The sequence below is a fragment of the Homo sapiens genome, chromosome 2 (genome assembly GCF_000001405.40).
Source record: "Homo sapiens chromosome 2, GRCh38.p14 Primary Assembly".
NCBI classification, from domain to species: domain Eukaryota; kingdom Metazoa; phylum Chordata; class Mammalia; order Primates; family Hominidae; genus Homo; species Homo sapiens.
The window spans coordinates 26,313,148-26,339,655 of NC_000002.12; the positions used below are offsets into that span (position 1 = coordinate 26,313,148).

Genomic DNA, 26,508 nt, shown 5'->3' on the forward strand with positions numbered 1-26,508 from the left:
TGGGACACATGGTGGAATGATGGTTTGAGAAGAGCATCCCAGACCCATGGAGATTGTTGACCCCCAGAAGCCCTCTCACTCCTACTTCCTGGCTCTGCTAGGGCTCCACTTCAGAGAAGCTGAACAGCCTGTGGGCTGGGCCTTGGGGAAAAGGGTCTGCAAGCTGGGTCCTAGAGAGGCTAGGGTGGGCCGTGGAGGGGGCACGTGGGCAGCAGGGTGGAAGCTTCACCTTGGTTCTAGTGAACAAGGCCAGGAGCCTCGCATCTGTGCAGCTGCTGTGGACCGGCCCCCAGACTCCGTCAGCCCCACAGAGCCTCCTCACTATGCCCCTCTTGCTCTCAGGACATGGGGCCTGTGCCACGTGGCCAGCCTTGGTGACATTCCAGGTGAGCACCGAGGCGTCCTCAGGGCAGGTGATGTCTCCATCTGAAGAATGACGAGCAGGCGCTACTCAGCAATCACAGCCTCACCTGAGCCTCTCCTTGGGCAGAACCCTATGCGGGCCCCGAAGCCTGGTCCTGTTGCCCAGGGCAGAGACGTGCCATGCAAGAGAGCCCGTGCTCCCAAGGCAAGCAGCTGGGACCAGCCCACTGGGCCCCAGGCCCTGCGTACCCTGGATGATGGTGATGGAGATGGGGACCCTGAGTGGAGCCAGGCCCAGGCTCTGCAGGTCACAAGCGTACGTGGTGTCAGCCATCGGGCAGCGCTGAACAGCCAGCACAAAGCACTGAGAGCCTGACTCGTTGAAGGAGGAAGCTGAAGGCAAAACGAAGAAGGGAACTGTCATTGGGCCAGGGACAGGCCTGGAACCCAGCAGGCTCTGACATGCTGTTTCAGTCTTTCTAGCAATTCAGAAACAGAGGAAGCAGTGGGGAAGAGCCAAATGATGTGTGGGCTCCACTTGGACAGAGGAAGAGAGCTTGGATTTTGCTGGAGGGGACTGTGGGGTCTCTAACAAGCTCTAGGACTCAGTTTCCACCATTTCCTCATTTGTAAAATGGAGACTACCATCAAACTAATTCCATAGAGAGTTAAATGAGATTGTGTAGATGACAGCATTTTGCAAAAGTTTCCTATACACATGTGGTTATGTTATGGCAATAGACGTGGCATGGCTCTGATGGGGTAGAAAACAGTGTTGGCCTTGGACCCCACTCTCTGGTTGAACTGTGGCCTCTGTTTCTCATGAGCTGAAGACCCAGCTGCCTGGAAGAGACAGCTGCCCCCTGGTCCCTCTGACCCCTGACTGCTGGCCCCTTCTCATACCTTTGCTGCCCTCTCCAGGGCTCCAGGCCGCGGTGTAGGCCAGGTTTGTGCTGGGGATGCAGCAGCTCAGCTGGAAGCCAGGGGAGGTGGCACAGGAGATGGACAGCTGGTATGGAAGTCGAGCCACATCTGTCGCCTTCAAGGGCACCCTCACCACCTCATACAGGTTCCACTTGAAGCCCTGGGCCTCGAAGCAGCTCATGTACTCACCTGCAGAAACGTGTGTGCGGCGCTATGTGGCTCCTCTGGGCCCCGCTGCACCACAGAATCTCTGCTGCTTTCCAAGCCACAGCCTTGCTCCTGTCCTCTGCCTGCCACCCAGTGCTTAACCCCAGCAAGCAAGGTCCCAGGATGGCCCCTTTGGTGGACATTCCCTGTCCCCAAGAAGGATTTCTAGGAGGTAGAAGAGATCTCTCTTTTATCGGCCCATGCCCGTGAATTTCATGCTCTCCCTAGAGCAGATGCCCTTCCTGCACCACCCCTGCCATTTTAGCATCTTGAAAAACATGGATCTGTTCTCAGCAGACATTGAGACGGTATTCTCCACATTCTCCATATTTTGTGTGGAGAATTGTAGTATTTTTGTTAACAGAAACATTTTTATGAAAAATAACTACATTTTCCAAAACATAATTAGACAAGTGACTTTGTTTTACATGTTTGCAAATCTTGCCCGTGTCTGGGTTCTCCCATCTGCATTTGCATTCAATCTCGTGATGGCCCTGTAGCCTCTGGAAAGGGCCACTGTCTACACCTGAGGGAGTGGGAGTGAAAGGGTCAAATGACATCTTAGCATATTAGGACAATAGTTGTGACTTTGTAAACCCTGAAAAGGGTCTCAGAAGTCCCAGACCACAGTGAAAACAGCTGGCCATTTTTAGAATTTTCCACATTGCAATTTTTCACACCAAGGGACCTCTTAGCCTTTGTTTCCCCAGAATGGGTAAATGGAAAGATGAAAAGGGTGAGAAAGAGGTGGAAAGAAAAGAAGGAAGGAGAAGGGAGGGAGGCGTGGGAAGAAGAGGTGAAGGAAAGCAGAGAAGGAAGACGAGGATGAAGGGAAGTAAGAGGAAGGAGAAAGGAGGCAAGGAGAGGACAGGCTGGCTACCTGCCCAGTGATGGGACATGTTGGAGACGCTGAGGGCAGCCTGGCCGTGGCTGGAAGTCACAGACACCTGTGTCCCTGGCTGCAGGAGGATGGGACTGGGGCTCCCTGGGTGCCTCAGGAACCAGCTCAGGTTGGTGGCCTCCTGGCTCAGATGGAGAGTCAGGCTCAGCGTGTCACCAGGCATCTGCAGCTGGGAGTTCAGGTTGAGGATCCCGGGGACTGCAGGGAGGCAGGTGACAGGGGACCCTGGAGGAGGGACTTATGGCCCTCAGATGCAGCCGAGCAATGGCTTCTCCCCTGACTCTGGAGCCCATTCCTCCACACTCCCTCCCTAGCTTTTTAACTTTTTCTTTTTGTCCCTGGGTGGGCACCTGAATGTGGCTGCTGCAATCCAGCCTGGAAGACTCTATCTGTTATTGGAAACCAAAGAGGGAACCTTTTTGGTCTATGCCTCTCCCTCCCCCAGGTATCCTGGGCTACTGGAGCTGCTTCCTGCCTCCTAAGGTAAAAAGCAGTCACTCCAGCACTTTCTCTCCTGGTCCTTATGTCTCTGGGGCCTCTCTCATTAGTCTCCCTACTCAGGTTCCAAGCTCAGGGCCTGTGATCTGCTATGATGGCTGGCTTTTTCTCCCACCCAGAGGAGCAGCTGTGCTTGGACCAGCTGGCCAAACTACAGGTTCAGAGAGGAGAAAACCACTGAGAACATTTATTTCACTTAAGGCCATTGGTTTCCAAGTTCCCAACCTTCCTCACCAGGTGGCAGCAACTGGCAGTACCCGGGTTCGGGATGGCTGAAGACAAGGCAGCCACAAGGCTGGTGGTTGTGGAGGCTTTGACAAGGAGGGTAATGGAGGCAGATGCTGGTGTTCCACTGGTAGCCAGAGAGGCAAGCACAATAGAAATTCCCCTTGTGGTTGACATTACACTCTGACAGAGAGAAGAGAAGAGGGGGTGGGCAGGCTGTCTGAAGAAGCTAGGTGGGCAGGGCAGACACCTGCCTGATGCCTGAGAGGCTTTAGGGCTGGGTATCTGGACCAATCCCCAAGCTACAGGTGCCTCAGTCAGGCCCATGCATCAGGACTGCCTCCTCAGTCAGGACTCGAAGCAGCAGATGTCTCGGGGGCCAGGGAACAGGTGAAGGTGGAGGTCTGGGCCCACGTTGTCTGTCCCTTGGGCCATCAGCCAAAGTTAGAAGATAGGGGGATGTGGCAGGCAAGGAAGGGTCTGTCTGGTAGGGAGGTGAGGAAGGAGCTGGGCCACGGAGACAGAACCAGGCAGCCCTTCCTCCAGGAAATACAGAGGGGCTCACAGAGTCTCAGGCAAGCTGGCTGCAGGAGGCCCGGGAGCCTATGTTCATTCACTCTCAGCCCCCTTCCCACGCAAGTGGTACCTGTTGTGAGTCTGAGGCCAGTGAGAAGAGGCCTTGGGGAAGAGGAAGCTGAGGCAGCAGGGAGAGTCAGTGTCCTGGAGAGTTCAGGGGGCCAGGTCTTATCTGGAAAGTCCAGATGTACATAGACGGAGACCAGCGCTGATTCTACAGGAGCAGAGGGGACAGCTGGAGAGGACAGGCAGCGAGGCCACAAGCCGGTCCCCTCTGGATTCTCTCACCTAGCTGGCCAGTCCCAGGAATGCAGAGCAGACCCCCTCCCACAGCCTGTCCAGGTGCATATAGACAGGGCTCAGGAAGGGAGCAAGTCCTCCCCTAGGCACTGTGCCTTCAGATACACGGCTTCATGTCATCCGTCCAGCAACACCTATTTTATGGATGAGGCTTCAAAGACAAATGAGTTCATTTCCAGGCCTCTCCGCTAGAGAACTGGTCACAGACCTGTCCGACTGTGATCAGAGCCAGTCCTCTCTCTCCGCCACCACTCCCTCGCTGCACCTGCCCTCTCTTTTCTGGGTCCTGGGTTTCCACCTCATTCCCAGCTCCCATCTCCTCCCCCTCCCTCCTCCTCCTGTCCATACACTCACCCCCTGCTCCATTCTCTTGGTCCAGGAGCTGCCCAGATCCAGATTCCCCTCCAGCCTGACTCTGTCCCTGGAACAGAACACAGAGGGGAGACCTCAAGTCCCTTCCAAAGGCACCCCAGGGGCCAGCCTGACTAGTCTCAGCCAGCATGACTCAGTCTCAACCAGCTCTTCTTTTTGCCAGGAGTCAAGTGTACACATCAGGAAGGGAAAGCAGGCTTCTGTTAGGGGGTGCCAGGGATGCAACCCCAGGAACCCTGCTATCCCACCCAAGACCAGGAACCAGGCACGCCCTGGGAAGTCAACATGCTTTGTTTAATTCCTTCCTGCGTTTACCTGTCCCTGGGCCTCTAGGCTAATTGAAATGGCTTGGTCTGGAGCTCCAGCAGCGGAGCTGGACATTGCTGGCTGGGGCCCAGGCGCTTGGGGAGTTTATTCCTTCTGTAGGATTTGACAGCAGGGTGAGCAGAAGGCAGCCTCTTTCCTCCGTCTTTGGTTCCTGTACATTATTTCCTCACCAACTCCTCCTCTGTCAGGGTGAGGGTGGAGGTCTGGGCCCACATTGTCTGGCCCTTGGGCCATCGGCCAAAGCTAGAAGATAGGGGGATGGGGCAGGCAGGGAAGGGTCTGTCTGGTAGGGAGGTGAGGATGGAGCTGGCCCAAGGAGAGAGAACATGGCAGTCCTTCCTCCAGGAAATATGGAGGGGCTCACTGTGTCACAGACCTGAGCCCTGTCTATATGCACCTGCGTGTGCGTGTGGATATCTATCCAAAACCAGATATTGATATAGATACGAGTATGGATAAGACGTGAGTATAAGCTGGTCACAATGGCACGTGCCTTTAGTCCCAGTTACTTGGGAGGCTGAGGTGGGAGGATCACTTGAGCCCAGGAGTTCAAGTCCAGCCTGGGCAACATGGTGAGAGCATGTCTTAAAAAAGATATAGATATAGATAGATTTAGATACAGATACAGATATATATTTACATAAAGATAGATTTAAATTTAGCAATAGAGATAGATTTAGGCTTAGTGACATATAGACATAGCCATAGATATAGCTATCTATTGAGGAGAACACAGATGGAAAGGCACCCTCTAGACTCTGATGTCTTTCCTCAGATTCTCTCCCATCCTCTAAGCCAATAGTTTCCAAATCTGCAAAATTTTTCTTTTTCTTTTTAAATGGCCAGCTTGACTGAATGAGACTTTATCCAAAGTACAGCAGGTATCATATGAGTTTACAGGGACTCAAATAAGGAAACAAGAGCTATCCCCCACACCCAGGAAAGTAAAACTGAGTTCTCAGAGATCTCATAACAAAGCATCCACTTTCCTTACACATTACTTCCTCTCCCCTCAGCCCTTTCCCCACTACCTATCCTTTCATTCCATGCTTTGTCTCTCCCAATCAGGGGTCCCCATTGTCGCCTCTGCAGACCTTCCCTGGGTCTCACCCCAGTCTCACTTACAGGTTGGGATGCTTGGGCAACTGGTGACCCCAGCAGGGGAAGAGTTGTGGCCAGGAGCAGCAGTGGGGCAGCCGAACAGACCATGGCTCAGTGAAGCAGTCCCTACAAGCCCACGATGCAAATTTCCGCAAGGAAGAGCTGGCAGGGCAGTGTGCAGATGGGATGGGAGGGAAGAGGGGAGGGAGCCAGGGCTGAATTTACAGAGGAAGCGCTACAGCCTGTGACTCTGAGTGAAATGGGAATCCAGGTCACTGTGGGGGCCACCTGGAGCCCACATGCCCCAGTGAGAATGGTGCCCAGGCTCTTCTTAGGCTCTGGACCCAAAGCTCCGAGAGCAGGAGAGGCTTAGGGGTTCGAAGTCACAACCAGCAACATGTCTATAAGCCAGGTTCAGTCATGTTCCCAAGGACCTGGGAAATCTGGATTGTTCTGAACTCCTCAAAGGCTGAATCACTGATCAAACAGTCAAGGTTACAAATGAAAAATAAAGAAAAGATAAAAATATGAGAGCTGATTTTTACTCTAAAATAATTTCCAGATAGACTAGAATCCTCCCTCCCTCCCTTCCTTCCCTTCTTTCTCTCCCTCCCTCCCTCCCTCCCTTCCTTCCTTCCTTCCTTCCTTCCTTCCTTCCTTCCTTCCTTCCTTCCTTTCTTTCTTTGTTTCTTTCTTTCTCTTTCCTCACTCTTTCCTTCCTTCCTTTCTCTCTCTCTTTCCTTCTTTCTCTCTCTCTCGCTTGCTCTCACTCTCGTTCTTTTTCTTTCTTTTAGAAACAAGGTCTCCCTCTGTTGCCCGGGCTAGAGTGCAGTAGCATGATCAAAGCTCATGATCATAGCTCACAATAGCCTCAAACTCTTGGGCTCAAGCTATCCTCCCAACTTAGCCTCCCAAGTAGCTGAGATTACACATGTGCACCACTGCACTGGCCTAGAGTCTTAAATGTAAAAAAGAATCTGAGAGAATACTAGAAAAAATTATCAAGTTATTTCATAAAATAATTTTAAACTGCGGAAGGTTTTTTAAATTGATAATACTGGTTTTTTATGTATTTAAGTTTTTTAAATACATAAAACTGAGAAGCCAAAAAGGAAATAAATTTGACTGTCTAAAAACTTTTAAGTTTGGCCTAAGAAGAATAATTTTCTCAACAAAGGAAGTTTCTTCTAGTTTTCATATCAATAAGATAGAAAATAGGCAAAAGATGGGAATAGGCAATTCACTGAAGAAGGAATAGAAATAGTTTGATAATGGGCGTGCACGGTGGCTCACACCTGTAATCCCAACCCTTTGGGAGGCCGAGGTGAGTGGATCACCTGAGGTCAGGAGTTCGAGACCAGCCTGCCCAACATGGTGAAACCCTGTCTCAACTAAAAATACAAAATTAGCCAGGCGTGGTGGCGCATCCCTGTAATCTCAGCTACTTAGCAGGCTGAGGCAGGAGAACTGCTTGAACCTGTGAGGCGGAGGTTGCAGTGAGCTGAAATTGCACCATTGCACTCCAGCCTGGGCAACAAGAGTGAAACTCCATCTTAAAAAAATAAAAATAAAAAAGAAGTAGTTTGATAAACATATACAAACCTCCAACTTTACGCATCAGAAATACAAATCAAACAAGAAGATACTATTTCTCACCTGCTAATTATCAAAAGAGAAAATTTTAATTATATTAAGTATTAAAAGTATAGTTGTACATGTGTGTAAAAACATGTACATAAGAATATTCAAGGCAGAATTGTTTGTGATAGCAAATGAGTTGATTAAACAATCAAAATGTCTATTAAAAAGGGAGAGCTTATATAAATCTTGGGATTTCCAAGCAACACATTACTTAAAGTTGTGGGGGAAAAGTGAAGTAGCTTTATTTTGGAGTGATCCCCAATATATGTAGTGAAGTTTAAATATATGTTATATATATTATGCTCCCATGTATGTAAACAAAAGGAATCTATTTAAGATGCTTGTACTTTTATATCCCTAGAATATTTCTGGAAGAATACATCAGAAATTTGACAATAGTTGTTGCTTCTGGAGAAAGGGATTAAGGATCTGGATGGGTCTGTGTGCTGTTTCATATATAGTTTTTCTAATCATAGACTTTTTTTTTAATCAAAAAAAGTTGATTTAAACACACACACAAAGTACGAAGTACCTATGGTAGAAACATAGCCCCATTGCATTTCCACCTCCACCTCCACCTCCAATCCCCCCTTGCCAGTTTTGCTGCTAATGGAAGAGCAGACACACTGGGCAAATACACTCATGGGAGCAATCGCTCTTGTAAATAGCTGATTTCAGAAAACATGAAAATGGTGGAGAATCTGGTTTGAGAACCAGAGAGAGAAGTGAGAGAGAAAACACAGGTGCTGGAGGTAGGATGCTATTAGCATGCTGTGTGCTGTCTGTTGCAGCTATAGGCAGTCTCAGATGGGCCAAGGGGATGTGGGACATCAATAGCATCTGCTGCAGTCTCCAAATGGAGTCTGTCAAGGCATGAAGTGGTCCTAGACTATGCTCAACAGGGTCTGTTGAGGACCAGGAAATACACAAGCAAGAGGTGGACTGAGACCCAGAAAAGTGGATGCTTCAGTGCCGAGGGGAGACTGAGCCATGGCAGCCCCCAGTTAGGAGAGGCAAGGACAGCCTCCAGTGGAGGGAAGGCTGTTCATCCATCAGCATGAACACTGAAGGAAGAAGGAACTCCGAGGACATTAGAAAGCTAATAGAGGCTGGGCGCGGTGGCTCACACCTGTAATCCCAGCACTTTGGGAGGCCGAGGCGGGCTGATCTCCTGAGGTCAGGAGTTCGAGACCAGTCTGGCCAACATGGTGAAACCCCGTTTCTACTAAAAATACAAAAAAATTAGCCAGGTTTGGTGGTGTGCCCCTGTAATCCCAGCTCCTCAAAAGACTGAGGCAGGGAATTGCTTGAACCAGGGAGGTGGAGGTTGCAGTGAGCTGAGATCGTGCCATTGCACTCCAGCCTGGGTGACAGAATGAGACTCCTCAAAAAAAAAAAAAAAAGCAAGCTGATAGAGGCTGGGTGCAGTGGCTCATGCCTGTAATCCCAGCACTACACCTTGGAGGCCAAGGTGGGCAGATCATGAGGTCAGGAGTTCGAGACCAGCCTGGCCAAAGTGGTGAAACCCCATCTCTACTAAAATATGAAAATTAGCTGGGTGTGGTGGTGCGTGCCTGTAATCCCAGCTACTTGGGAGGCTGAGGGAGGAGAATCGCCTGAACCTGGGAGGTGGAGGTTGCAGTGAGCCGAGATCACTGCCACTGCACTCCAGCCTGGGCGACAGAGCAAGAATCTGTCTCAAAAAAAAAAAAAAAAAGAGAAAAGAAAAAAAAGAAAGCTGATGGAGCTGGAGCTGGAGAGGTCCTCCGTATTCCACCCCCAAAACATAATTTTCCCTAATTGATTCCCAGCTCATCTCTCATCTTAACCACTTTGAGTTCATGACTAATAGTGACAGTAGAAATGAGAGCAACATATTCCTAGTTCAAATAAAGCTAAGGTGTCCAAGGTGTTCAAAACTATTGATAAAATTGAGATTTATTTTACACTTTTTAGACTGTTCCTATGATTTTAGAAAAGCTTGAAACATTTTTGCATGTACAGAGATATCTAGAAAAAGACTGGAGGGAAATGCTACAGGCTCTCCAAAGCACTGAGTTTACCTCAGTACCCCCCAGTGCCTAGCACCGTGCATTGGAGGCCTTAGGTAATATTTGTATCAAATCAATCAATCAATAAATGGAATACACCAAGACATAAACGGTGATTTTAATTAAATGGTAGATTTGGTATATTTTTCTACTTTTCTGTATGTTTCAATTTTGTATTCTGTAATAGAAAAGATCTTAATAAAAATATCATATCTGGCTGGGTGCAGTGGCTCACTCCTGTAATCTAATCCCAGCACTTTGGGAGGCCGAGGCAGGTGGATCACCTGAGGTCAGGAGTTCAAGACCAGCCTGGTCAACATGGTGAAAACCCGTCTCTACTAAAAATACAAAAAAAATTAGCCAGGGGTGGTGGTGGGCACCTGTAATCCCAGTTACTCAGGAGACGGAGGCATGAGAATCACTTGAACCCAGGAGGCGGAGGTTGCAGTGAGCCGAGATTGCACCACTGCACTCCAGCCTGGGCAACAGAGTGAGACTCCATCTCAAAAAAAAATCTATATATCTGTATATCTATATCAAATCTTACAGTCTTATGGACCGATCAGTTTCATGGGGTGTCAGGAAGCACCCACAGGCTGAATCAGGTCTTAGGCAAAGTGGAGTTCAGACCAATGGGGACTTATTGCTGCCACCTACCTACTCCCAAGTCCAAAGTGAACCACAAGGTGATTGGCCTTTGTCCCTCCAATATACATAATGATTTTTGGAAACTGATAAGTTTTTAGCTGCTGGCAGCTTCTCTGAGCTCCTAGGTTGCTCCTGGACACCTCTAAACATGGATTGTGAAGGCTGCTAGTAAGCAGTGCTCCCTTATTTCATTTTTATTTTTTAGAGACAGGATCCTGTTATGTTGTTCAGGCTGGCCTCAAAGTCCTGGGCCAAAGTGATTCTCCCACCTCAGCCTGCCCAGGTAGTTGGGATTACAGGCGTGAGCCACAACTGGACCTGGCCTCCATTACTTCTTCTTCTTCTGTGTTTGTTTTTTTTTTTTTTGAGACAGAGTCTCACTCTGTTGCCCAGGGTGAAGTACAATGGTGCGATCTTGGCTCACTACAACCTCCACCTCCTAGGTTTAAGTGATTCTCCTGCCTCAGCCTCCCAAGTAGCTGGGATTACAGGTGCCCACCACCACACCCAGATAATTTTGTATTTTTAGTAGAGACGGGATTTCACCGTGTTGGCCAGGCAGGTCTCAAACTCCTGGCCTCAAAAGATCCACCTGCCTCGGCCTCCCAAACTGCTAGGATTACAAGCATGAGCCACTGCGCCCGGCCTCCATTACCTCTTATAGAAAGTAACTGCTGGACCCAGGTGTGGTGGCTCATGCCTGTAATCCCAGCACTTTGGGAGGCCGAGGCGGGTGGATTGCTTAAGGCCCAGGAGTCCAAGGCCAGCCTGGGCAACATGACAAAACCTCAATATGGCAAAACTTCATCTCTACAAAAAGTTAGCTGGGTGTGGCGGCACATGCTTGTAATCCCAGCTACATGGGAGGCTGAGGTGGGACGATCACCGGAGCCCAGGAGGTCAAAGCCACAGTGAGCTGTGATCGTGCCACTGCACTCCAGCCTGGGCAACAGAGCAAGACCCTGTCTCAAAAGAAAAAAGAAAAGAAAGAGAGAAAGTAACTGCTGGGGTTGCTACATATTAGTTACCTCTATGAACCAGACATTGAATCTTGGTGTATTTTTTTTTAACTTTTATTTTAGGTTCAGGGGTACAAGTGCAGGTTTGTTACATAGGTAAACTTGAGTCATGGAGGTTTGTTGTACAGATTATTTCATCACCCAGGTATTAAGCCTAGTACCCATTAGTTATTTTCCTGACCCACCCTCTGAAAGGCCCCAGTGTGTGTTCCCCTGTATGTGTCCATGTGTTTTCATCATTTAGCTCCCACTTATAAGTGAAAATATGTGGTATTTGGTTTTCTGTTCTTGTGTTAGTTTGCTAAGGATAATGGCCTCCAGCTCCATCCATGTCCCTGCAAAAGACATGATCTCATTCTTTTTTATGGCTGCATAGTATTCCATGGTGTATATGTACCACATTTTCTTTATCCAGTCTATCATTGATGGGCATTTAGGTTGATTACATGTTTTTGCTACTATGAACAGTGCTGCAATGAACATCCACATGCATATGTCTTTATAAAAGAATGATTTATATACCTTTGGGTATAGACCCAGTAATGGGATTGCTGGGTAGAATAGTATTTCTGTCTTTAGGTCTTTCAGGAATTGCCACTGTCTTCCACAATGGCTGAACTAATTTACACTCCCGCCAACAGTGTGTAAGTGTTCCTTTTTCTTCACAGCCTTGCCAGCATCTGTTAATTTTTGGCTTTTTAGTAACAGCCATTCTGACTGGGGATCTTGGTGTATTTGCACAAATACAATTTGGGTTCAGAGGTCATGACAGCTGTTATGCGATACAGGATTTCTGCTGGTTGCTACCAAGCTGTGGCCAGTGGCAGTGGCCACATCATGGGACATGTGTAGAGAGAAGGGGAAATGCACAGCTGTTCACCCAGCTGCAGCACAATTCCAGTAATGGCAAGTCAGCTAATCCTCGGCTGACACAGAGAACTCTAACATAGAAAGAGTCTGTTCAAAATTGTTTGATGCTATAAAATTACTTATCTGTGAAATATTTGACAAGAAGAGGTATTTTAACAAAAAGCTGGACACATTATATATGCCTTTATAGGAAAAAAGATATTTCTGACATTAAAATGTTAAAAGAAATGGTGTAAATTTATTCAGAAGGAATAATGACAGCCTTAGATCTATAATTTAAGTATCTAAGTCTGGACCCTAGAATGAGATCCTGCATTTGCTGTCTGGGACTGTTCAGAAAACCCTGCTTCAGCGTTTATATTAAAGCTATGTACCTCAAGAGCACAACTTAGAGAAGCTGAAGAAACTCATGAAATTTCTGATGCTTTCTTTGATTCTTACAAGATGTGGGGTCTTCACAAAAGTTTCATGCTGACCTTATATACAAATAAACCTATGGAGAGACCAGGACATTAGAGTGGAGAAGAACTGTTTCTTCTAAAGATAAAATAATTTCAAATCCTTAAGCCAGGGTCCTGACTAATTTTAAGGCATAATTCAGGGTTATAATCTTATAAACTTAAGTATCTGTTAGGTACCATTCCCCATTTATTAAAACCCATTAATGAAAATTATTTTATAATTTTGGAGGTATAGATGACCTACCTAAGTGTGAGACAAAATCCTGAAATCATATAAGAGAAGATGACTAATGTGAGTATAAAAAATATAAGATATACAAATCCTGGACGGCTGCAAGATGGTAGTATTACTCCATGAAAGAAGAACAATTTTCTCTCTGAGTCAACAACTACGTGTTATGGTTTGGAAAGGGGTCACTAATAGGAAAGCAGACATGAGTCAGCTTCATTAATGGAAAAGCTGAGTGAGAGAAGGTGATTTTGATCTGAGCCAAGTGTACTTCCCAATACATCCCCCTCGAACTGAATTCACTAACTCAGTCACTGGCACAGCAAGGCATCTCCAGGTCTACCTGTCTGGGGACGGGGAGCTGAGGACAAGTATGGAGGACTGGCCACTTCAAAAGACGGGGCACCCAGAGCTCATTCTCCAAGTCTTACCAGAATATATCCTTATCAGAAGGATATATTCTGGTTCTCTGGTCAGAAATCCCTCTCTGTTCCCCTTACGTCAAAAAGTGATATAAGTCACTTTTTGCTTTGGTGAGAGGGAGAGGGAACAGAAAATATATCCTTCTGGAAGTGGAAGTTCCTTTCCCTCTGTGGAAATGGGAGAAGTGAGTACGCATTCCCTGCCAAACCATGCAGTAGTGAACTTATTTCAATATTCTAGTGAGCAGGAAAACTGAAAAACTTCATTTAATGATGAAATATACAAGTAAGTAGATTTTATAAAGTCAATAAACCTAGAAAATATTTTTGAGTAGCCTGTTAGAAGCCCTAGAGAAATGTGTGTCAAGGGCAAAAAATAGCAGGTCCTTGTACTGAGAACCTATTGTTCATGAGTATATTCTACTTATTTTCTGACTCATTTCTTAGAAACTGCCCTCTGCCCATAACCACAGGTTTACCATGGAAGTAGCCTTTTTCTTTTTTCTTTGAGATGGAGTCTCTCTCTGTCACCCAGGTTGGAGTGAGATGGCACAATCTTGGCTCACTGCAACCTCCGTCTCCCAGGTTCAAGCAGTTCTCTTGCCTCAGCCCAAGTAGCTGGGACTACAGGCGACCACCACCACTCCCGGCTAATTTTTGCATTTTTATTAGAGATGGGGTTTCACCATGTGGGCCAGGCTAGTCTCAAACTCCTGACCTCAAGTGATCCACCTGCCTCGGCCTCCCGAAGTGCTGGGATTACAGGAGTGAGCCACCATGCTTGGCCAAAGTAGCTGTTTTACACTTGGTTACACTAATCTCTGATTACAGTACAGTCCACATCTAAAACCAAGTGGGAACAATTTCTCTCTTCTGGGGTAATTTTGGAACTGGGACCCAGTGAGAGTCTGGGGTTGGGCCTACAACTTGTAAACTCAGCAGCTCTTGGTTTTCTGTCATGGGGACTGGGAAAATAGTCTGAGCTCCAAGGAAAAGTAAAACTAATGTGGATACAGAAACAGACAAACATGAGGTGAGTTCCTCTTCAAATTCAGTTTATCCCTGATGTTCATTTGCACTCTTGATCTTTAGTTCCTTCAGAGAACCTGACTTCCTTTCATTATTTCCCTTTGAGCTGGATAGAGCAGCTTTCTGTTACTTGCAGCTAAAAGAATGTATCAATACATGCTCAGAAAAACCAAGGATGCTGTATCAGTACGTCTGAGTCTGTTCTGTGTTGCAATAACAGAATACCACAGACTGGGTAACTTTTTTTTTTTTAAATAAGGCATTTATTTCTTACAGCTCTGGAGGCTGAGAAGTCCAAGGTTGAGGGGCTCACACCTGGTGAGGGCCTTCCTGCTCTGTCATCCCATGGCAGAAGATGGAAATTCAAGAGAGCACATGAGAGAGAGAGAGATGGTGGGGTGGGGGCGGGAGAGAGAGAGACAAAGACAGAGAGAGAAAGAGGAAAGGGGCCCTAACTTATCCTTTTATTAGGAGCCTACTCCCAGAGGACTCCAGGACTGTAAGAAATAAACGTCTTCTTTTAAAAAAAAAAAAAATTTTGCCACTCTGTGGTATTCTGTTATTGCAACACAAAACGGACTCAGAGTCCTCACAACCTAATCACCTCTTAAAGGTCTCCACCCCTCAACACTGTGGCATTAGGGATTAAGTTTCCAACACATGAACTTTGGGGGACACATTCAAACCACAGCATGGTAGAAAAGTGGTCATTATATTAGGAATGGGATTAATGAGCCTTGTGATTCGAGACAACCACTTCATCTTTCTAGACCTCAGTTTTCACATCAATAAAATGGAGTTAAAATATATGGTCTTTGCAGTATTTAAAAGTGTTGTTCTGTTTCTTTCTGGCTTTCATGGTTTCTAAAACAAAATCCACAGCCATATAACTCATTGATCCCCTATAAGTAATCTATCATTTTTCCTTGGCTGCTTTCAAGATTTTTTCTTTGACTTTAGTTTTTAGCAGTTATGATGTGTTTAAGGTGGGCTTTCTTTGGACTTATCCTTTTTGGATTTGGCGAGCTTTTGCTTCTGTAGATTTATGTCTTTTATCAGCCACTATTTCAAATTGTTTTTCTGCACTGAATTATTTCTCCTCTTCTCTGGCGCTCTAATGACACAACTATTAGGCCTTTTTAGTTTTTTTTTTTTTTTTTGAGACGGAGTCTCGCTCTATTGCCTAGGCTGGAGTGCAGCAGTGCTATCTCCGATCACTGCAATCTCCGCCTCCCAGGTTCAAGCGATTCTCCTGCCTCAGCCTCCTGAGTAGCTGGGACCACAGGTGCATGCCCACACCCGGCTAATTTTGTGGTATTTTTAGTAGAGACGGGGTTTCACCCTGTTAGCCAAGATGGTCTCGATTTCCTGACCTCGTGATCCGCCCGCCTCAGCCTCCCAAAGTGCTGGGATTACAGGCATGAGGCACTGCGCCCAGCTGCCTTTTTAGTATTTTATCCACAGATCCCAGTGGCTCTGTTCAGGTTTTCAATCTTTTTTCTCTGGTTTTCAGATTGGATCATTTCTATTGATCTATCTTCAAGTTGACTGACTTTTTTCTCTGTCATCTCTGTTCTGCTGTTAAGCCTGGATAGACAGAATAATGACCACCCAAAGATGTCCATGTGCAAATCCCTAGAACTTCTGGATATGTAAATGTATATGTCAAAAGGGATTTTGCAGATGTGATTAAATTATGAATATTGAGAGGGATATTATCACGGATAATCTGTGTGGGCCCAATGTAATCACAAGGGTCCTTGTAAAAGGGAGACACGAATGTGAGAAACAAAAAAGCACAGGTTGAACTGATGCAGCACTTTATTTATGTAATTATTTTTTGAGACAGGGTCTCACTCTGTTGCCCAGGCTGGAGTGCAGTGGCACAATCATGGCTCACTGCCGCCTTGACCTCGTGGGCTCAAGTGAGCCTCATCCTCCTGGGTAGCTGGCACCACAGGTGTGTGTCATCACGCTTGGCTAATTTTTATTTTTATTTTTTGTAGAGATGGGGTCTCACTATGTTGCCCAGGCTGGTCTCAAACTCCTGGGCTCAAATGATCCTCCTGCCTTGGTCTCCCAAAGTTCTGGGATGACAGGTGTGAGCCACTGTGTCCAGTGAAACTGATGCACTTTAAAGATAAAGGAAAGGGCCTTGAGGCAAGGATTGATGACAGGCTCCAGAAGTTGGAAAGAGCAAGCAAATGGATTCTTCCCTGCGGTTTCCAGAAGAAATGCAGATCTGCTGACATCTTGATTTTACCTCTGTAAGATTCATTTCACACATCTCACTCTCAGAACACATTACATTACATAATACATTTGTTTTGTTTTAAGTCACTACATTTGTAGGTATTTATTATAGCAGCCATGGTAGTAATTTAATACAGAGCTCATGCAATAACTTTTACATTTTTGGTTATTATATATTTCAGTTCTAAAGTTCCCATTTGGTTCTTCTTTATATTTTCTATTTCCTCCTTGAGGCTTTTTGCCTTTTCTTTTGTTTTTAAAACAGTGTTCACATTTACTTATGGCACTTTTGTAATAGGTACTTTAATGTCTTTTTTAGATAATTCCAACATCTTTGTCATCTCAGCATTGGTAAATGTTGATTGTTTTTTCCCATGTGAGTTGAGATTTCCAGGTTCTTCAAATGCCAGTTAATTTTGAGTTTTATCCTGGAAATTTTGAATATTATGTTATGAGACTCTGGATCTTGTTTAAAACCTGTGGGAAGTGTTAATGTTTCTTTTTTAGCAGGTAATCTACCTGGCTTGGTTCAATCACAAGTTCTGATCAACCTACTGCGGACTGTGCTTCTTTCAACATCAATTCTCATTTCAAAACCTTTACGGTGCTATTCAGATCTTCTGCAGATGTGTGCCACCCAGTGGCCGGCCCGGGACCTGCGTGATGGATGGTCGATCTCTTAGTGCAGTTCTGCTGGTGGTTTGTGGTTTAGAGTCAGATCCACGCCTGTACAACTGGGAAGTGATCCCAGGAGCTCATAAAACTGTCTGGGGTCATCTTCTTGTCCTCTTCCTTTCTGGTCATTCTAGTACTTTCTGATTCCCTGGGACTCCTCTTTTTGGTTCTCTGGCCAGAAATCCAGGGCTTTATTTCCCTGCTTTACCATGCACTTACTGTGACTGTTCACAGGTGGGGCCTTGTAGCAGAGACAAAAAGCAATGGAGGTTTGCCTTGCCCTCTTGGCACCATAAATTCTGATCAGAGGAAGTTCCCCTCCCTCAGAGTTCTCGGCTCCTGCGGATCCTCACCGCCACTGCTGCCATGGGATTGCTTAGAGGCTGGGTGTGAAAGAACAGAGAAAAAAGAAAAAAAAGGTAGAATTTCCTCCACTCTCTCTGAGTGTTAGGGTCTTCCTTCCCTCTCCTTGAGCCAGACCTAGGGGGTTTCTTCTGTAGTTCTGTCTGTCTGTGCAATTGCCCATTTCTGGATTTGAGGTTGCCTTGAGTTCAGGCCAGTGCATACCAGAAGAAAAAATGTGAAGCTCACCACCAGTTCGGTGGTATGTTGAATTCTGGACTTCTTCCCCAATCCACCTGCTACTATTTACTTTCTAGAGTCCTCAAATATCAGTTCCGTGCATCTTCACTCAGTGGGAGAGACAGGGTGGAGGATGCTTACTCCATCTTTTCTAGAACTGGGCCCCTGCGTCTCACAATTTTGATATGTATTTTTATTATTTCATTCAAAATATTTTCTGATTTCCCTTTTGATTTCTTCTTTGTCGGCTACTTAGAAGTGTTATGTCTTAATTTCTAAACAAAAGAAATTCTCTGGTTATATTTTTGTTACTGCCTTTAGCTTGATTGCATTCTTGTCAGAGAAGATCATCTTTATGATTATCAATCTTTAACATTTTTGAGGTCCGTTTTATGGGCCAGCTTATGGACAGCTTTTGTAAGTGTTCTGTATGTAATAAAAAAGTATGTGTGGCCAGGCGCAGTGGCTCACACCTGTAATCACTTTAGGAGGCCGAGGCGGGTGGATCACCTGAGGTCAGGAGTTCAAGACCAGCCTGACCAACATGGCGAAACCCTGTCTCTACTAAAAACACAAAAATTAGCTGGGCGGGGTGGCACGCACCTGTAATCCCAGCTACTCAGGAGGCTGAGTCAGGAGAATGGCTTGAACCCAGGGGCAGAGGTTGCAGTGAGCCGAGATTGCACCACTTCACTCCAGCCTGGGTGAAAGAGCAAAACTTCATCTCAAAAACAAACAGACAAAAAAGTATATGTATTCTGAGCTGAGCACAGTGGTGTGTACCCGTAATCCCAGCTACTTGGGAGGCGGAGGTGGGAGAGTCACTTGAGCCCAAGAGTTTGAGGCTGCGGTGAGCTATGATTGTGCGCTGTACTGCTGCCTGGGTGCAGAGTGAGACCAATCTTTAAAATACAAAAAACAAAAGGCAAAAACAAAACAAAAGAAACAAACAAAAAACCTTTAGATATCTGTTATAAATAGCACATATTTTGGTTTAGTTTTTTTTTTAATCAGTTAGACTACCCTTACCTTTATTAAATCATTTATGCTATTTATAGTCAATTATAATCACTGATAAGTTTAAATCTGTTGTCTATGTGTTTTCTATTTAGTCCACTTTTTCTGCTCCTTTTTTTCTCCCTTATTTCCCTGTTTTGAGTTAATTTCTTTTTATAATTATCTCATTTGAACTCCTCCCCCATTAGCTTTTAGTTACACATATTTTTACCACTTATTTAGAAAGTTTCTTTAGAGATGATAACATGCGTCTTTGACATCTCAAGGAGTTTAGAACACTTTAACTTCTTTTATTCCCCAGACTTCTACACTGGAATGTGTTAAAATAGAGATCTGTTCAGTAGTTGGGTAAACGAGTTTGCCTTGTGAGGGGACAGACATTTTAGACACTGGGAAACACAATTAAAAGTACACAGGTATGATGCAGATTGTTGTGCTGTCAGAGAACTACAGTACTGCAGTTTGGGATCATTGCTGCCAGAGGTGTGAATAGAAATGGAGGTGGAATTAGATCATGAAGGGCTGTCCATACTGGAAAGCAGGATGGGAAGCCAACAAACTAGAGAGCAACTACTTGAAAAGAAATAGCACAAAACAAAAAGTGATGAATACAAAATTAGGCCAGGCATGGTGGCTCACACCTGTAATTCCAGCACTTTGGGAGGCCAAGGTGGGTAGGTCCCATAAGCTCAGAAGTTTGAGACCAGCCTGGGCAACATGGTGAAACCCCGTCTCTACAAAAAATAGAAAAATTAGCTGGGCATGGTGGTATGTGCCTGTAGTCCCAGCTACTTGGGAGGCTGAGGTGGGAGGATCACCAGAGCCCAGGAGGTCAAGGCTACAGTGAGCTGTGATCATGCCACTGGTCTCCAGCCTGGACAACAGAGTGACAGTCTGTCTCAAAAAATATATATACAAAGTTATAACCAAACTTTATGTTAATTTTTTTTTCTATTTTTGCAGAGACAGGGTCTCACTATGTTACCCAGGCTGGTCTTGAACTCCTGGTCTCAAGCAATCCTCCCACCTCAGCCTCCCAAAGTGCAGGGATTATAGGCACTAGCCTCCATGGCTAACCCTCAAATCTCAAAGATTAAGAAAGTTTTAAATTTTGTATTATAACTGTATTGTTTGCTTGTTTGTTTCTCCGACAAGATAAACTGAAAGTTAATTCAAACTTGAATGCCTAAGGAACCACAGGTATTCATCAACACTCCCTCCTCTCCTAGGAAAATATTTCCTTCCAGGTTTTCCCTAAATCTTCCACCTCCCTAGTACTTGTAACCAGTGAAATACTTCCTCGACTTATTGCCTCTACTCCAGAACCATTCACAGTGCTCTTTGGAAAGCATGTTTTGTTATGAGCAAGATTCTTTCCAGTATCAAGTTTTTCTTAGAACACTCAAGTTAATCCCTTATAAATATCCTTTGATTAGAAAGCAGGATGGGCTCCTTGAGTCCAGTTGGTATTATGATATAGGTGTAGGCCATTTGATGGGTCACAATTGCTGAACATAAGAGAATTGATCACACAATACTTAGGCCACATAAAAATGAGATTGGGTACCAACCTCTCCTCTTAAATCTGGGGTAGGTGGAAAGTTCCTAGCCTCTAATCACGTGGTTGGTTCCCCTGGCAACCATCCTGAGGTTATCCAGGAGCCCCTAGGTACCAGTCATCTCATTAGCACGCAAAAAGACCTTACATTTTGAAGACTCCTAAACAGGGCAGAGAACAAATATGTATTTCTTATTATGTCACAGGGAGCAATTCCTCCAGGGACAGGAGCACCCCAGTGTCAGAGCAGCAGTTGTGGCAACCAGTGGTTATGGGGATCCCCAGCCACAGATGCCTTCTCTTAGCAGACAATCACTTATTCTAATACATACCTAGGTTTTCTAACACAAAAGTTCTTACTTCTAGCATAAAATAAAATTTAAAGGGCTGTACCTGTACAAGAACAGGATTTCATAAAATGTATTTTATTTACTATTTTTTTTTTAAGACAGAGTCTGGCTGTGTTGCCCAGGCTGGAGTGCAGTGGTGCAATCTCGGCTCACTGCAACCTCCACTTCCCAGGTTCAAGCAATTCTGTCTCAGCCTCCTGAGTACTGGGATTACAGGCACACGCCACCACGCCCAGCTAGTTTTTTTTTTTGTATTTTTGGTAGAGATGGGGTTTCACCATATTGGCCAGGCTGGTCTCGAACTCCTGACCTCAAGTGATCTGCTCGCCTCAGCCTCCTAAAGTGCGTGAGCCACTGTGTCCAACTAAAATTTAAAGGGTTGTACCTGTACAAGGATAGGATTTTTAAAAATCACCTTTAGTAGTTAGCCAGGCTCAGCAGCACACAGCTATAGTCCCAGCTACTTGGGAGGCTAAGGCAGGAGGATCACTTGAGTCCAAGAGTTCAAGACCAGCTTAGGCAAGACAGCAAGCTATCATCTCAAAAAAAAAAAAAAAAAGTAAATTTAAAAAACCACCCACAATGCTTTAATCCTAATTTTCCCTGTGGTTTTTGAGCTATTTTCTTATTTGCAAGCCTTACCCCTTTGTAGCAATTTAGACTTTAGAGTACCTCTTAATGCCTTCATTCTTTATTTCAAATTCCTCTAGAAAAGCTGTTAATTCACATCCTCCTGATTACTTTCTCCTGATTGCTTTCAAGAGAAAACTAGCTGGTGGCTACCTCAAGGGCTTGCTTCTCAAAACACCCCTTTAGCATTTTGCATTCCTATTCTCATGCCAAAACCAGGAAGATAAATCTTATATGGGTAATTTGTTGATGTTCACATTGAGTCCCTTTGATCATCTCCCCGCCATTAAAACACAGGTTATCCTAACAAGCATTCTATTAACGCAATGACTTGTCCTCTCCTACTTCATATTATAAAACCATAGAACCTATAGTTACCTTATCATGTAGGACTTTATAGGTCTACATTTTAGCTTTGCATAATTTGCAATAATGTTCTGGTAGATATGCCTGTAAAAGTACTAAATTTTAAGCAACTTTATCTACAATGATAAAATGCCCACAAATTAAAAACACCGAATTCATGACATCCTCTGTCTTTTTCCCTGGTTATCAATAAATACATTTTTAGTTGTAACAGGTATGCATATGTTATTTTGTGCTTTGCTTTTTTCCTCCCTCACGATGTGCTTTTCTTTTTAATATAACATTAATAATCAATTTCCCCTTTTTAAAAATTGAGATAAAATTCACCCTTTTAAAGAGTACATTTCAATGGTGTTTAGTATATTCACAATTTTGTGCAATCTTCATCACTACCTAATTCCAGAACATTTTCATTATCCCTAAAAGAAATCTCACACTTATTAGTTATTCCCAATCCTTCCCTGCCCCATCCCCTAATCAGCTTTCTGTTTCTATGGATTTGCCATAGAGCAAAGCAAAGCACATTTCCTATAAATGGAACCATACACTATATGGCCATTTGTGTCTGGCTTCTTTCACTTCGCATAATGTTTTCAAGTTCGTGCTGTAGCATATATCATTACTTCATTCCTTTTTGTGGCTGAACAGTTGCATGGACACACACATTTTATTTATCCATTCAGCAGCTGGGCATTTGGCTTCTTTCCATTTTTTGGCTATTATGAATAGCTACTACGGACATTCATGTACAAGTTTTTGGAGTAGAATGACTGGGTCAGGTAACTATATGTTTAACTTTTTGAGGAACTATCAAGCATTTTTCCACAGGAGCTGTACCATTTTACATTTCCACCAGCATTGCATGAGGCTTCCAATTTTTCCACATCCTTGCCAACGCTGTTTTTTTTTTCCCATTTTTTTACATTCACTTATTTCTCTTTCTAATAATGATGTATCTTACGACATTAATTTACTATAGTTTACAGTTTAAGTTCTTATATAATTGGGCATTTGATTGCCTGCTTTCCCCTCTGCAGTTACAAAATATGGCTCCTTATAGGTCTTTGCAACAAGATTTTTTTCTTGCAGATCATTTCCTGGAAGTATATTCTTTCAAAGTGGGATTACTAGGTTAATAAGTAGGAAGAGTTTTATGTTAATAGCACTTGTTGCTGCCAGTGCCATATATGTCCTTATTCCTTCACAGTACAACTTAATTCAATGCTTACTGAGGTCTTGCTGGGTATGAGGCATTATCTTACAGACTCAGAGGTATACAGATTTGGTCTTTACCTTCAAGGCACTTAGAGTCCAGTAAGACAGAAAAGAATAGATAATTTCCTAACATAAACATAAAGGTATGCACAGGATGCTGTGGGAACACAGTGTGGGGAGCTGGAAGTAGGTTGCCAACTGGGACAAAAAAGGCTTCTTGGGAGAAATGAAACTTAAGATGAATCTTGAAGATTGAGAGGGAGTTAACCAGTCACGAACAAAGGAACAGAAGCTTTGTATATGCAACCTGAAATGTTTGGCGATTTATGAATAATCCTGCATTCTGGGGAGATCAAGAGTGTGTGTGTGTGTGTGTGTGAGTGTGTGTTTGTATGTATGTGTGTGTGCGTGTGTATGTGTGTCTGTTGGAAGGAAGGGTCGGAGAGAATGACGACAAGAGTAATTAAATTCAAAGCAATCAAGGGAGGCTAGGCGCAGTGGCTCATGCCTGTAATCCAAGCACTTTGGGAGACCGAGATGGGTGAATCACTTGAGGTCAGGAGTTCGAGACCAGCCTGGCCAACATGGCAAAACCCTGTCTCTACTAAAAATACAAAAATTAGCTGGGCGTGGTGGCAAGTGCCTGTAGTCCCAGCTACTCTGGAGGCTGAGGTAGGAGAATCTCTTCAGCCCAGGAGGTGGAGGTTGCAGTGAGCCAAGATCTTGGCACTACACTCCAACCTTGGTGACAGAGTGAGACTCCATAAAAAAAAAAAAAAAAAAAAAAAAAAAAAAGCAATCAAGGGAGAAGGGAGGAAGTTTCAAGGAAATAACAGTGGGCAGGATAAGTGGAAGACAACCCCAGTAAGTTATGTCTGAAAGTGTCCATTTGACTCAGCATCAAAGAGGAGGAACCTGGCAGTAGCCATTTCAGTGGCATCTATGGGGTTGGAAATGGACTGAAGATGAGTGAAGAGCAAGTGGGAGGTTTGGAAGTAAGAGATAGTTTATGATGACTAAAAAAAGCCAATGACAAGAGTTTTTGCCGTTCTTTCTCTGAATATTTGAAAGTGATCTAGGTGTAAGTCAGTGGTTTGCAAGTCTTTTCATGAAGCCTACTTACTGTATTTTTAGCGACAGCAGCTAATCTGAAGTGGTAGATTGTTTACAAATATAGGGGCAGTGATTGTCCTATACTTTTCTGCAGGCCCCACACTGTGTGACTTTGCCATTCCATCCATTAAGTAGTGGAATCTATTTCTCCTTCGTGACTCTGCACTGGCCTTGTGATTTGCTTTGTCTGGCAGAAGGCAACAGAAGCAACATTGTGTGGTATTTTACCTAGGCCGACAAAGGCCTTGTAGCTTCCACTTTATTGTTCTCCCAGCTTCATTGAGATATGATTGACAGATAAAAATTGTATTTATTTTAGGTGTACAATGTGATGTTTTGATATGGAGAACAGTGTGAAATGATTACCACAGTCAAGCTAATTAGCATATCTAGCAAGACCAGCAAAACTGCTCAGCTAAGCCCATTCCAAATTGCTGACCCACAGAATTATGAGCAAATAAAATGGTTCTTATTTTAGGCTACTGAATTTTGAGTAACTTGTTACATGGCAAAACATAACTTTTAAAACTGCTTATTTTAAAAATGTATTTTCTTGTAGTCTGTGTCTATTCATAAGGCATTTCATCATGAAGGGCTAAGTATCGTGAGTAAATGTGAAGAGCTGTTTCCATACCCCACTTTCTAGATTATTCATCAAAATATTAAATCAGGCCAGGTGTGGTGGCTCACACCTATAATCCCAGCACTTTGGGAGGCCGAGGCAGGCGGATCGCTTGAGGCCAGGAGTTTGAGACCAGCTTGGCTAACATGGCGAAAACCTGTCTCTACTAAAAATACAAAAATCGGCCAGGCATGGTGGCACATGCATGTAATCCCAGCTACTCGGGAGGCTGAGACATGAGAATCACTTGAACCCAGGAAGCAGAGGTTGCAGTGAGCCGAGATCGTGCCACTGCCCTCCCAGCCTGGGCAACAAAGCAAGACTCGGTCTCAAAAATAAAATAAATAAATAAATAGATAAATAAATAAATCCCTATGTGATCTCAAAGTCTTTATTTAGAATTTTCTTTTGATTTTAAGCCTTTGTTTCCTGTCTTTAAGTCAATTCTCTGTCCAAGACAAAATATTCCACACCTTCACAGTGGATTTAAAAAACGGAGAAGAGAGGTAGACAGGAGGATGAAAAAAAGATAGAAATATGGCCAGGTATGGTGATGCACACCTGTAGTCCCAGCTACTTGGGAGGCCAAGGTGGGAGGATTGCTTGAGTCCAGGAGTTTGAGGCCAACCTGGGCAACAGAGTGAGACCCTGTCTCTAAAAAAACAAAGAGAGAGAGAGTAAAATGATGAGCCAGAGCACTGGATGATGCTGGTCATTTTCAGAGTGCAATAATAACTTCTCCCTGCTTGGGGACCATGTCTTATTCAACTTTGTTTTGTTTTGTTTTGAGACGGAGTTTCGCTCTTGTTGCCCAGGCTGGAGTGCAATGGCACGATCTCGGCTCACTGCAACCTCTGCCTCCCAGGTTTAAGTGATTCTCCTGCCTCAGCCTCCCGAGTAGCTTAAATTACAGGCATGTGCCACCACGCCCGGCTAATTTTGTATTTTTAGTAGAGATGGGGTTTCTCCATGTTGGCCAGGCTGGTCTCAAACTCCCGATCTCAGGTGATCTGCCTGCCTTGGCCTCCCAAAGTGCTGGGATTATAAGCATGAGCCACCGTATCCGGCAGTCTTTTTCAGCTTTGTATCTCCATGTCCATCATGGAATTTGTATTTGGTACACAGTGTTCAATAAGGATACATGAAAAGAAAATGAAGTTGTTGGCTGGGTGCGGTGGCTCACGCCTGTAATCCCAGCACTTTGGGAGGCTGGGGTGGGCGGATCACAAAGTCAGGAGATCAAGACCATCCTGGCCAACATGGTGAAATCCTGTCTCTACTAAAAATACAAAAATTGGTGGTGTGCACCTGTAGTCACAGGCTGAAGCAGAACAATTGCTTGAACCCAGGAGGCGGAGGTTGCAGTGAGCCAAGATTGCGCCACTGCACTCCAGCCTGGGCAACAGAGTAAGACTCCGTCACAAAAAAAAAAAAAAAAAAAAAAAGCAAAGCAAAGAAAAGAAAGAAAATGAAGTTGTTACTTTTGTAACTGGGTCCCTTAACTTCAAAATGCATTTTAAGGGCTGAGCATGGTGGCTCATGCCTGTAATCCCAGCACTTTGGGAGGCCGAGGTGGGTGGATCACTTGAGGTCAGGAGTTCGAGACCAGCTTGGTCAACATGGTGAAACCCCACCTCTACTAAAAATACCAAAAAATTAGCTGGGCGTGGTGGCGCATCTGTAATCCCAGCTACATGAGAGGCTGAGGCTTGAGAATCGCTTGATCCCGGGAGGCAGAGGTTGCAGTGAGCTAAGATCGTGCCACTGCACTCCAGCCTGGGTGACAGAGTGAGAATCTGACTCAAACAAACAAACCAACAAAACAAAACAAAACAACACACCCCCAAAACTGCATTTTAATGTATATTTTTTTCTTTCCTCTTGGGTTTTAAGACGTAATTTTGAAGCAAACTGCAGAAGCCTTTTCCCTTAGCCTTGATATAGACTCCATGGTCCCTCTGTT

General features: G+C 44.7%; 1 protein-coding gene across 15 annotated transcripts in view, besides 2 other annotated features; it reads right to left on the reverse strand.

Annotated features, from left to right (window-relative positions):
- ADGRF3 (adhesion G protein-coupled receptor F3) overlaps positions 1-26,508 on the reverse strand; it is a 38,617-nt gene that overhangs the window by 4,975 nt on the left and 7,134 nt on the right. For 3 of the 15 annotated variants that reach the window (NR_171656.1, XM_047443563.1, NM_001321971.2), the window contains exons 2-8: positions 4,349-4,415; positions 3,765-3,908; positions 3,128-3,301; positions 2,375-2,593; positions 1,267-1,476; positions 613-756; positions 230-426 (exon numbers count right to left, since the gene is read on the reverse strand). Coding sequence is in view for 12 of the 15 variants with exons in the window: in XM_047443563.1 (XP_047299519.1) it covers positions 230-426; positions 613-756; positions 1,267-1,476; positions 2,375-2,593; positions 3,128-3,301; positions 3,765-3,908; positions 4,349-4,415 (1,155 nt within the window). In the remaining 3 variants the exon portion in view is untranslated. Of the gene's footprint in view, positions 1-229; positions 427-612; positions 757-1,266; positions 1,660-2,374; positions 2,621-3,127; positions 3,302-3,764; positions 3,909-4,348; positions 4,416-4,681; positions 5,248-5,724; positions 5,956-26,508 lie in introns of those variants that run through there. The other 12 variants (NM_001145169.1, XM_011532622.3, NR_171657.1 and 9 more) reach the window with 9 other exon arrangements.
- Positions 13-858: an enhancer, noted in NCBI's record as "H3K4me1 hESC enhancer chr2:26536028-26536873 (GRCh37/hg19 assembly coordinates)". NCBI's record gives its function as "activates a minimal SCP1, AML or CMV promoter by ChIP-STARR-seq in primed H9 embryonic stem cells {active_cell/tissue: H9 hESC(primed)}" and the evidence as "EXISTENCE:reporter gene assay evidence [ECO:0000049][PMID:30033119]".
- Positions 4,916-5,415: an enhancer, noted in NCBI's record as "H3K27ac hESC enhancer chr2:26540931-26541430 (GRCh37/hg19 assembly coordinates)". NCBI's record gives its function as "activates a minimal SCP1, AML or CMV promoter by ChIP-STARR-seq in naive H9 embryonic stem cells {active_cell/tissue: H9 hESC(naive)}" and the evidence as "EXISTENCE:reporter gene assay evidence [ECO:0000049][PMID:30033119]".